This window comes from Homo sapiens, unplaced genomic scaffold (genome assembly GCF_000001405.40).
Source record: "Homo sapiens unplaced genomic scaffold, GRCh38.p14 Primary Assembly HSCHRUN_RANDOM_CTG20".
Classification (NCBI taxonomy): domain Eukaryota; kingdom Metazoa; phylum Chordata; class Mammalia; order Primates; family Hominidae; genus Homo; species Homo sapiens.
Genome location: NT_187498.1, coordinates 133,844 through 146,741, shown reverse-complemented (window position 1 = coordinate 146,741; position 12,898 = coordinate 133,844). Strand labels below are relative to the sequence as shown.

The window sequence follows — 12,898 nt, the reverse complement described above, 5'->3', positions numbered from 1 at the left end:
AGTTTAGCTGTGGTTCATACCACATTTTTTTTTCTTTTTTTTTGAGGCAGTGTCTCACTCTGTCACCCAGGCTGGAGTGTCTTGGTGCCATCTCCACTCACTGCAACCTCCACCTCCCGGGTTCAAGTGATTCTCCTGCCTCAGCCTCCCGAGTAGCTGAGACTACAAGCACCCACCATTACACACAGCTAATGTTTGCATTTTTAGTAGAGACAGGGTTTCACCATATTGGCCAGGCTCTTCTTGAACTCCTGACCTTGTGATCTGTCTGCCTGAGCCTCTCAAAGTGCTGGGATTACAGGCATGAGCCACCACACCCGGCCCATGCCACTTTTAAAGTTTCTTTGCACCAGCCAGGTGTGGTGGCCCATGCCTGTAATCCCAGCACTTTGGGAGGCTGAGGCAGGTGTATCACGAGGTCAGGAGTTCAAGACCAGCCTGGCCAAGATGGTGAAACCCCATCTCTACTAAAAGTACAAAAAAAAATTAGCCTGGTGTGGTGGTGGGCACCTGTAATCCCAGCTACTAGGAAGGCTGAGGCAGAGAATTGCTTGAAACTGGGAGACGGAGGTTGCAGGAGCTGAGATTGCACCACTGCACTCCAGCCTGGGTGACAGGGCAAGACTCCATCTTGAAAATAAAAAAAAAATTAAAAAAAGTTTATTTGCACCATCTCAATTCTTCCCACCCATAATCACAACTGAATGATTGGCATCCAAACACTTTGCCACATATGGATGTTTATTATTTAGTAGAATCCAAAATAATTGCATTTTATGAATTAAACAAAACACTAAAATGTTCATTTCCCTTTTTATGTTAAAAGTTTTGTGCTTGGCCAGGCATGGTGGCTCACAGTTGTAATCCCAAAATTTGGGGAGGCCGAGGCAGGTGAATCACCTGACGTCAGGAGTTTGAGACCAGCCTGGCCAACATGATGAAACCTGTCTCTAGTAAAAATACAAAAATTAGCAAGGCGTGTTGGCAGGCATGTGTAATCTCAGATACTCAGGGGGCTGAGGCAGGAGAATCACTTGAACCCAGGAGACAGAGGTTGCAGTAAGCCAAGATCATACCACTGCACTATAGCCTTGGTGATGGAGACTCTGTCTCAAAACAAAACAAAAAAAAAGGTTTGTGCTTTCCTTACATAAGAGTACATCTTCTGACTATAAAAATCCTGGAAGAAAACCTAGGAAATACTCTTCTGGATATCATATTTGTCAATTAATTTATGGCTAAGTCCTCAAAAGCAATTGCAAGAATAACAAAAATTGACAAGTGTGATCTAATTTAGCTAAATAGCTTCTGCACAGCATGAGAAACTATCACGGGATTAAACAGACAGCCTAAAAGAATGGAAGAAAATATTCACAAAGTATGGATATAGCAAACCCCTATTATCCAGAATTCATAAGAGACCTAAATAAATCAACAAGCAAAAAATAAATAAGACCATTAAAAATGGGCAAAGGACATGAACAGACAGTTCTCAAAATAACACACGTAAGTGGCCAACAAACATTAACAAATGCTTACTATTGCTAATCATCAGAAAAATGCCAAACAAAACATCAATGAGATACCATTTCACACCAGTCACAATGACTTTTGTTAAAAACAAATAATAAATAAAAACTTAAAAAAGGATGTTGGGGAGGCTGTGGAGAAAAGGGAACACAACCCGTTTGTGGCAATGTAAATTAATTCAGCTACTATGGAGAGCAGTTTGGAAATTAAGAACTAAGAATGACTGTTGGATGCAGCAACCCCATTACTATACTAGGGGTATACCGAAAGGACAATAAATCATTGTAACAAAAAGATGTATACACATGTATGTTCATTGCAGCACTAGTCACAATAGCAAAGACGTGGAGTCAATCCAGGTACATCCAAGGTAGATTGAAAATCCAAGGTAGATTGGAAAATTCCATATGTACCATGGAATACTATGCAGCCATGAAAAGAACAAAATCACGTCATTTGCAGCAACATGAATACAGCTGGAATCCACTCTCCTAAACAAACCAACGCAGAAACAGAAACCAAATATCTCACGTTTTCACTCATGTGGGAGCTACATATTGGGTGCACGTTGTCATAAAGGTGGGAATAATAGACACTGGGAAATAAGAACGGGGAGGGACAGAGTGGGCCAGGGTTGAAAAACTACTTCTTGGGTCCTATGCTCACAACCTGTGTGATGGGTTTAATTGTACTGCAAACCTGGGTATCCCTCAATATGCCTTTGGAAGAAACTTACAGAGGTACCACGTTAATTTAGAATACAAACTAGAAAAAAAAAGAAAAGTTTCCTATAAGTAGAGAACAGAAATTTCTTTTTAAGATAAAATTTATTGAAGTAAAAAATGGATTAAACTTTTATAAAGGGCAGAGTTTTCTAAGAATTTCAAAGCAATGCATTCATTGCAAAAGATGGCTTTAATTACTTAATCTTTTTTTTTTTTTTTTTTTTTTTTGTGAGACAGGGTCTCACTCTGTCACCAGGCTGGAGTGCAGTGGTGCAGTCTTGGCTCACTGCAACCTCCACCTCCTGGCTTCAAGCAATTCTCCTGCCTTAGTATCCCAAGTAGCTGGGACTACAGGTGCACATCACCACGCCCAGCTAATTTTTGTATTTTTAGTAGAGATGGGGTTTCCCCATGTTGGCCAGGATGGTCACGATCTCCTGACCTTGTGATCTGCTTGCTTTGGCCTCCCCAAGTGCTGGGATTACAGGTATGAGCCACCATGCCTGGCCATTGTTTAACCTTTGTATTAATAAAACACTACCTTTCTAAAATCATGTATATGCAATAGATCAATATTAACTGCATTTTTGTCAGATTACTCTAAACAGCATTACACATATACATCCTCTGTTATCTAAACTTAAAATAAGTAGAAATTTTATTTTATTTATGTGATTATTTTTCTATTTAAGCAAACTTCAAGTTATGTCTAGTCACTAAAAATACTAAAGGCCACATTTTGTAAGTGATACATGATTTTCATGATAATGTTTCTTGTTTAATTTAGACATTATTATTATTTTTACTTACTTTAGATGGGGCCGGACTGTGTAGAATAAATAATTAGAGAAACAAAGAGAAGTACGTTGACAAAATTTATTAATTAAATTTAGGTTTATTTTAGAAATAAAGTGTAAATAGCAAATGGCATTCCTTTTCATTCTTGGGTTAGTAGATACTACATCAATATTTTTTTTCTTACACACATCTAATGAAAGATGTGAAAACAAAAACTTTCACAGAGAAGACTGTACTTATGCACCAAAAATTCATCATGTTCCAAAGCTTAAACAGTTCCCAAGAAGTCTGTGCATCTCTTTTTCACTGGCTCTACACTTTCTTAAGTTTTGCCATCCTCATGGAACTGTCAGCCAGCACACTGAAACGATTCTCAGAAAACAAAAGCATCATCAAGTTCTCAGGGTTTTGGTAGAGATTGAAGGCCAACAGACCTAAGACTCATTCAGAAATACTTAGCTGAGCAATAACCCTTCATAAGCAGTCACTTGACAGGTGACATTTTAAATCTCCTCTAATTTACCGTGTCATTGGCTTACACTTGTTCTCAGGAAAAGTTCCAAATTTTTCACCATGAAATAAAAACACCCATGTCAATGTAATTCTTGTCAAGTTACTCAGCCTTGTTTCTCACCACTTACTGCACTCTGCCCTTTGCTCTAGCACCAAACTGGATGGAGTGGAACTCTGCAGGGCTCTTCTTCACCTCAGGCTCTTTGCCTTTGCCTCTTTCCTCTATCTGGGTAGCTTTTCCTTGTCCTTCAGGTATCAACCTATGTTATCTCCTCCACCAGAAAGCCCATGATATTGACATAAAAGTGGGTAGATGTCCCTTCTCTGTGTTCCCGTAGTGCCCTGCTGTATACCTGTCATGGTATCTATGACTCTATATGGACATTGCCTGCCTGTCTGTTTTTTAGGTTAGAGTTTATGACTGTTGAGAGGTGGACCATGCCATCTTCATCTTGTAATTCCAGTGCTGGTTCTAGTACCTTAGCATGTGGCTGTTGATTACATGAATGAAGACTGAAAAAGCTCTGATATTTAAACACAATTAGAATTAATGCCATGTGTAAATTATTAAATAGTAATTTTGTATTGTAAATGCACATACATATTTCTCATTCTTATTAACTCTGATAAAGTTCTCAAGTCTTTAGTTTTTAAACTCACACTTAGTTAACTGAAGTGTTTTAGGTAAAGAACAAAATTCTTTATTTTTCTTTCCAGCTGTTGCTGTATTGGACACTTGCTCCCATCTACTTTCTTCTCTAGAATCCACGGGTAAGCCACATCTAATGAAGAGAATATTTAACCATAAAGTCTTAAGGAAAAATTCTATGTTGATTTAAAAGATTATAAAACTTTATTACTGGGCTATTTACACATTTTAATTGTTTCTCATAAAATATATAACATTCCAATATTTACTGAAGTAGGATATTTTTGTATCATATGTATGATTATAATTTATAGGGTATTTTAAATGATGTTTTTTGGCCTCCTTAAGTTTTAAGTGGATCTTGCAAATGAAAACCAGTATTATTGAGTTTGACATACTCAAATTGCCCAAATGTCAGCTGTTTAAACAACCAAGTCATCATTGATACTTTAGTAAAGGTTAGTAAAGGTCATCGAAGGCTTATTTGCATTTTACAGTTTTTATTACTTAGGAGAGTTAAGGAGTACCTGCCAGGTTTGTCCATGCTAATGTTACAATTTTCTTTTTGTAGTTCAACCGTATTTTGTATGGAGATACTTTGAGGCTCTGTAAATATCTGGTTACTCCTCAGAACCCACTAGATTTAGCATTTCATGGATGACTTGTGTTTGAACAATTATTACTATGATGGTTACCAGATGATTATTTTCTTATTCTCTTCTTTGTTCTACATGGAGAAATAAAACCAATAAATAGGGGAGAAGGAAAGCTCATGACTCTGATGCTCCAATTCCCCAAGATTAGGCCAGTAGTAGACATTCCAAGCTGACTTTATGTCTCTTTGATTTGTCTCCATTACTCTGTCGGCACTTTTTTACTTTCTGGCAGAAGATGTTCTAAGCTCAGCTTGTATTTTCTCTGCGCCAGCTCTGGAATGAGTCATTTTTTTTAGAAGCAGAGGTGGAGCCACTGAGGAAGCACAGGTGAGCCCTCCCCAGTATGTACTCACTGGTCCCCAACAGAAGAACCACTGCCACATCCACTGAGGTACCAAGAAACTAGCAAAGGGCCTTCTGGCTGTCTGGAGAGAGTCCTCATGTGGTCCCTGGCTGTCTCAGAGGTTCTGGATTAGTCTTCCTGTAGGCTCTGTGTTGTGTCTTTAGATCGGGGCTCTGTGGGAAGGGCCCTGAGAGACCCAACAGCACAGCGTGCCTTATCTGCCAAATGTCCCTCCCTTCCTCACACTCTGACACTCAGGAATAGGGTAGATGGTGTGTCCAGGCAGTGTCAGGCCACCTCACTTTCTCCTTTGAGATGGGCCCAGAGGGCCTTTGGGGTGAGTGTGGAGCTGGGAACCTGGAGCCTGAGGCCAGCTGTCTCTCCCTGTGTCTTGGAGGAAAGGCCATGTCCCAAAAAAAACCCCAGGGCCTGACCTCTGGGCACACATGCAGGGAGGGAGGGTCTATGAGCTGAGGGGGACATTGTAATGAGACTTTGCACCCCGTTGCTCCGGGGCCTGGTCAGTGGACCATGGTCAGAGATGACCTGGTCATCAGGACCTAGTCATGTGGGACCTGATCAGCAGGGGCCTGGTTAGTGGCAGCCTCCTCAGTAAAGGCCTCATCAGTGGGGACCTGGTGACCTAGTCATTGGAAGCCTGGTCAGTGGGGGGACCTAGTCAGTGGTGGCTTTATTAGTGGGGCCTGATCAGTTGGAACATAAACAATGAAAAACTGGTTGGTGGGGCATACACAATATATCACCGGCCTGGTCAGTGTGGGGCCTTAGTGGCTTGGAGCCTGGTCAGTGAAGGCCTGGTCAGAGGGGGCTCGGTCAGCTGGGTACTCGTTCATGGAGAATTGTTCAGTGGGGGGTCGGGTGAGCAGCAACCTGGTAAATTGTGGTCTTGTCAGTGGGAACCCGGTCTTGTCAATGGGGACCAGGTCAGTGGAAAATTGGTCAGTGGGGTCTGGCCCATGAATCCTATTAAGTGTGGGCCTGGTTAGGAAGACATGGTCAGTGGGGACTTGATCAGTGGGACCTGGTCAATGGAGGAGTGGTCATTAGGGGCCTCATCACTCATCACTGGGAACCTGGTCAGGGGCAGTTGGTCAGTACCTGGCCTGCTGGCCACTATGTGACCTCAGGCAGGGGGGTTGTCTGTGGAGCCTCCTTGCCTCCATCTGCAGGGAAAGTGAGTCGGGGCACCCTGGAGGGTGGCTGGAAAGAGAAGGTGAGAAGATGTGTTGAATCCAATACTGCTTGGCAGACCTACAACTTTACAAATGACCTGTGTTCCACCTAGAGAGGGTGCCAGCCCTCTCAGCATTATGCAGTGCCCCTTTTCTGTCTGCATCCCCAGGACCACCATGGGTGGGGAGGGCAGAGATTGGGGAGCACCTATAGAGGCTCTAATGCTCTAAGGTGACAGTGATGAGGACCTGGATGCACCCATGAGTGGAGAAGCTAGGCCTGTCCAGAGAAGCAAGACAAACACACACATACACACACACACAGGCACACATGCATACACAAATACACTGCATACACACATGTCAGTTCAGGGGATAGAGGACACTGACTCTGGGCACTGTTGACCCAAGCAGACTCCCATGGTGGTGGGTTGTGTCACCCCACAATGTCACTGTTGCTGAGTCCCCATCGCCTCTGTGTTGTGGAGCAGTTAGAGACACACAGCAGTGTCTGTGAGTAGCTCTGCGTGAAGGACCATTTTCTAGATGAGAGGCACATCTCAACACAGCTCACTGATCAGATTCAGGTGAGTGGGATCTGCTCTTTTCTCTTCCTCCTGGCTTGGGAAAAGTCACTATCAGGTGGATGGTTTCGGTCTCTGGGCAGCTACTGAGGGTAATCCCTGAACACTCACCAGCTGCCTGTTATGTGCTGACAGTCATCTCATTCATCCTCGCAGCAATTCCATTCTGCATCTTTTCTGATCACCTCCGTGACCACACAGGACAACCCCATCAGGGCCCTGTCACCAGGCCCAGTCTAGCTCCATGATAACCAAGACACAGGTCCAGAGACAATCGTCCTACATTGTGCCTGCATCTGACCCCCCTTGGTAGGTAGTGACCAGCACAACATGGAAGAAGCCAGGGCAGCATGCAGCCAGCTGCTCTGCAGCCCCAAATGGCTCCTGGGCCTTGGGAAGTCATTCATAAAGGGGAAGCTGGTCACTTTGAGGTCCCTGAAGGGAAGGGTGAACGTGCATCCCAACAGCCCTGGCAGCCAGCAGCATGCCATACATATTCTTACCCAACGTGTGTGACAGAGGTCCCCTCCTGGGGCACAAGTCCCATACCTAAAGCATCCTGTCCCAGTTGGACCTCATCCTGAGCCCTGGGAGGGGAGGGGAACCATGGGCCCCCCTGCAGCAGCCAGGATTACCACCCAGGGGACTCGGCCTTCTGTGGCCCTGGCCAGACTTAGAATTTGGCCCAAGACAAACTTACTCGGAGCAGCTTCTCAGTACCTGGGGCCTGTGTATGCCAGGCAAGGCCAAGCTGGCTCAAAGAGCAACCAGCCACCTCTGCAATGGTGTGCCAGGAGCAGGTGGAGCAGTCACCAACCTCACCCACTCAAGGAAACAGGGATGGCCAGTTTCCCACAGTCTGAGTGACCACCACCTGACAGCTGATGGAGTGGAGGCCTGAGGAAAAGCAGATGGCACTGGGGCTCCACCTCCAGGGCAGAATAACTGATTTACCCTGACTGGCAGGGAGTGACGCTGGTGGCTGGTCCACTGGCTCCTGGCACACCCTTGCAGAGGTGGGTGGTTGTTCTTTGAGCCAGCTTGGCTTTGCCTGGCATGCACAGGCCTCAGTGCAACAAATGTGCTGCAAATGGAGCCACATAGAGGAAATGAGCAGCAGGCTCAGAACTGGGGTGTGTGCTGCCTCTGGGGCTCCAGTCCAAGCATCGGGGCTTCTACAGCACTGTGGGCTTCTCGGGTGCCAAGAGGCAGACCACAAGCCATCTTGAGGAGGACTCTGGTAAGAGCTTCCTTGTGTATGTGGATGATGTCCAGAATGTTGGTCTGGTGTCCCTGAGACAGCACTAACAGGTCCATGACTGGGTCCAGATCCTGCCTGGGCTGATGGGCAAAGAGCTCACTGACAGTGTGGAAGGCATCTATGGTGAAGTGGATCTATGTTCAAGTGCAGAAAGGGCCCAGTCTTGTAGATGAACCACACAGCCAGCTTCTGGATGCAGGTGCAGTGCCACATTTTTTGTCACTTCCTGATGTGCCCCACCAGCACTGAAGAGATAGCCTGGAGACAGGGCAAGAGGAAGGCTGAGAAGGATGAGATGGTGAGTGCCAGATTCTTCCTGGCCCTGAGCCCACCCCCAGTGTGACACTGAACTTTTAGGAGTGGGAGAGCAAGATTGACAGCTTCAAGTGCTTCACCAAGAAGATGGACAACAGGGCACTCAGCTCAACTTCACAGCCAATGAGTGGTGGCAGGCTTTGAGAAAGAGCATCAGAAGCCTGACAGTTCTTCTTCAGCCTCAGCCAGGCCTTGGAGCTGGACCAGGCCATCCACTTCAGTATAGATGCCTTCCACTCTGTCAGTGAGCTCTTTGCCAGTCAGCCCAGGAAGGACCTGGACCCAGCCATGGACCTGTTAGTGCTGTCTCAGGGACACCACACCAACATCCTGGACATCATCCACATACACAAGGAAGCTCTTACCAAAGTCATGGAGAGCAGGCAACATGTGGCAGAAGGGAAGACAGAGGTGCAGAGGCTGATGACGTCAGAATCACAGGAACAGGATTTCTTTGGCCACTTTGGCTGAAATTCACCACTTCCATCCAATTCCAGTGAGAGACATGGACTCACAGATGCAGCATTTCTTGCAACAAGATATACTACTTTTTCAAAAAGTCACCCAGGAATTGATAGTGTTGAATGACTCGATACTCGATCGTGGACGGTTTCCAGTTCAAGGATACTTTCTACAGCAGAATAATAACACTAGCAAAGAGCTAGTACAAGGATGGTTTTGTGCTCAACTGAAATCCAGCTGAATACAGAATTGTATAGGAAACAGTTAATATGGTGATAGAATAGAAACAGTAGCAATCATGAACTAAATCATACTATGAATGCCTAAACTACTGCTGTAACTTTTGGAAAAATGATAATACCACTTTATTGCTTTTTGAAGTATGAATATTTTAGTGTATATGCTCTAGACTTCAAACTCTATAAAGAGTCTCAAAGAAGTTGGCTGGATAAAGCCTGCTGTGGATGTCTTTATATTCAAAGATTGATGATGCAATTTGAATATATGTCCCCACCGAATCTCATGTTGAATTATATTTCCTAATGTGGAAGGTGGATCCTGGTATAAGGTGATTGAATTATGAAGGCAAATTTCTCATGAATGGTTCAGCACCATCCCCTTGTACCATCCTCACAATAATGAGTGACTTCTCATGAGATGTAGTCACTGAAATCTCTATATCACCTCCCCACTCTCCGTGTTTTCCCCTTGCCATGTGAGACAATTGATTCTTTCTTTGCCTTCCATGATTATTGAAAGATTTCTGAGGCCTAGAAGCAGAAGCACTGTGCTTAGAACCATGAGCCAATTAAACCTCTTTTTCAAAATAAATCATACAGGAAATGGCAAATGAGGACTGGAGCGTTGCTATAAAGATACCTGGAAATGTTGAAGCAGCTTTGGAACCAGGTAATGGACGGAGGTTGGAAGAGTTTGGAGGGCTCAAAAGAAGACAGATGAGAAAACTTTTGGACCATCTTAGAGTCTGGTTCAATGGTTGTGACAAAAATCCTGACAGAAACATGGACAGTGAAGGCCAGGCTGAGGAGGTCTCAGAGAGAAATAAGAAGCTTTCTGGAAAATGTCTTCCTTTTGGAAATGGAAAGCTTACACAATGCCTGCTTTTTATTTCAGAGACTCATAGGCAAAAGAGACTGTAGCCTTGACCCAGATGAGACTTTGGACTTTGTAACTTTGAGTTAATCCTGAAATGAGTTAAGACTTTGGGAGACTGCTGGCAAGGCATGTTTGTATTTTGCAATGTGAGAAGGACATGAGATTCATTGGGTCAAGGACAGAATAATACGGTTTTTGTCTATGTCCCTACCAAAACTCATGTGGAATTACATTTTGTAATGTTACAGGCAAGGTCTAGGTGGAAAAAGATTTAGTCATAAAATGGTGCAGGTAGACACTTCACGAATGATAAAGAACCATCACCTTGATGCTATCCTCCTGATAATGAGTGAGTTCCCATGAGATCTTGTTGTTTAACAGATCTCATCCTCCTGCTCCTGCTTTAGGAGACATCTCATTGTCCCTTGGCTTTCTGATATAATGAGGAGGCTTCCTGATTCCTCCCAGAAACAGAAGACACTATACTTCCTTCACAGCTTGCAGAACCATGAGTCAATTACACCTCTTTTATTTACAATAATACAGAAAAGTAGAACTGCAGAGAGGAGCTGTGAAATGCCTTCAAGGCCTTTTTCCCTTTGTTTGGGCTATTAGCACAGGGCTTCTTTATATGCAAATTTCTGAAATCTTCTTGAATGTTTCCCCTTAAATGGGATTTTTGTTCTTGCTACATAGCCAACCTGCTATACAGGTTTCTGAAAAAGTAGAAGCAGGCTCAGTAGTGGGTAGCAAACAAAGATTGGAAGGGTTTGGGGGGATTAGATTATGACAGGGAGTGGGAGGGAGTGATTTAATCATGGATGGGTGTGGGTGGATGTGGAAGGGAAAAAGGGGTGGGTAGGGTGGGAGGGAGTAGACTGGCTGTACGGTGGTGGGAGGGTGGTGGGTAGTAGGAAGGGGTAGTAGCCTGCTGCAGAGGCAGAGTCTCATGGAAAATCCCTACTAGGGAAGCGCACCTGTGGCTTTGCAGGTTTGAGCCCCAATGGCTGCTCTCATGGACTGGACTAGTGTTGAGTGCCTGTAGCTTTTCCACACGGAGGGTGCAAGCTGTTGGTGGGTCTATGTATCTGGGGTCTGGAGGGTGGTGGCCCCCTGCATGGGGGCTCCAAGTCCATATTTTCCTTCGGCACTGCCCTAGTAGAGGTTTCCCAAGAATGCTTCATCTGCAGCAGGCTTCTGCCTGGAAACAGTGGGAGGTGGGGGTGGGAGGCAGATCCTTCACCAATGGTTAGGCAACATCTTCTTGATACTGTCTTCATGATAGTGTGTTCTCATGAGATCTGGTTATATAACAGGGGGTGGCACCTCTTTCCTCTCTCAGTCTTTCTTCTACCCCTGCCATTTGAAACATCTCATTGCCCCTTGGCCTTCTGGTATGATTGGAAGGCTTCCTGATCTGATCCTCCCAGAAGCAGAAGCCACTGTGCTTCCTTTACAGCCTGCTGGACCGTGAGCCAATTAAACCTCTTTTCTTTATGATCATGCAGAAAATTAGTACTATGAAGTGGAGCCATGAAATGCCTTCAAGGCCCTTTCCCCTTTGTCTTGGCAACCGGCACTCAGTTTCTTTTCATGCAAATATCTGAATCCTTCATGAACTTTCCCCCTGAAAATGGACTTTTCTGTTTTACCACATTACCAGGCTGTGATAAAGATAGCTGACAATGTAGAACCAGGTTCAGAAGTGGGTAAAAGACAGAGGTCAGAAGAGTTGGGAAAGCTTAGAAGACAGCAAGATGAGGAAAATATTGGACCACTATAGAGAATTGTTAAATACTTGTGATAGGAAGGCTGACAAAAGTGTAAACACTGAAGTCCAGACCTAAAAGTTCTCAGATGAAAATGAGGAATTTCCTATGAACAAGAGACAAGATTACATTTGATTGGCCTTAGCAAAGAAGCTGGCTGCATGGGGACCCTGCCCTGGAGATCTGTGAAACTATGAACTTGGGGGTGATGATTTAGGATGTATCTGGTGAAATGAACATCTAGGCAGCATAGCACAAGAGGTGTCCTGCCTACATTGAACAGCTTGTGTTCTTATGGGTGACCTAAGAAGTGACTTCAAGTTGGAACTTCAAGTGGAGATCTAAAGTTTGGAAAATGTGGAGCCTGGCTAAGTGGTCAAAAAGAAAAGCTGATTTTGAGGGGGAAAATTCAAGAAGGCTTAGGGTATTTGTATAAAAAGGAACCCAGTGCAAAACGCCAAGACAGTGGGAAACTGGCCTTGAAAGCATTTTAGAGATGTCTGCAGCAGCCCTTGCTGTCACAGGCCCTGGGGCCTAGGAGAAAAGAATGGTTTCCTACGCCAGTCCCATGGCTCTGCTGCTGTGCTCAACCGCAGGACACTGCTGCCGGCATCCGTGCAGCTCCAGCACCAGCCATGGCTGAAAGATGCACAGGTACAGCTTGGGTCATTGCTTCAGAGGTGCCTCAAAGTCTTGATGGTTTCCATATAGTGTTAAGCCAGTAGGTGCACAGAGAAAGAGATTAGAGGCTTGGGAACTCCCGTCTAGACTCTACAAGATGTACAGAAAATCCTGGATGTTCAGGAAGAAGCTTTTCCAAGAGGCAGAGCTTCATGGGGAACCTCTACTAGAGGAGCAAAGAAGGGACCTATAGGGTTGAAGCCCCCACACAGGGAAGCATCATTCTCTAAACCCCAGATTCATAGACCCATAAACAGCTTGCACCCTCAGCGTGGAAAAGCTATGGGCACTCAACAACAGCCC

General features: G+C 44.8%; 1 long non-coding RNA gene across 2 annotated transcripts; it reads left to right on the top strand.

Annotated features, from left to right (window-relative positions):
- The first annotated feature begins 3,766 nt into the window (after positions 1 to 3,766).
- On the top strand, positions 3,767 to 10,801 carry LOC102725051 (uncharacterized). 2 transcript variants are annotated; one of them, XR_001756160.2, is made up of 4 exons: positions 3,767 to 4,337; positions 5,104 to 5,198; positions 6,822 to 6,994; positions 7,148 to 10,801. It is a non-coding gene; the product is annotated as an uncharacterized LOC102725051 (long non-coding RNA). The 2 variants fall into 2 exon arrangements; XR_001756158.3 differs by lacking the exon at positions 3,767 to 4,337 and having other exon boundaries at positions 5,001 to 5,198.
- Positions 10,802 to 12,898: the final 2,097 nt, after the last annotated feature.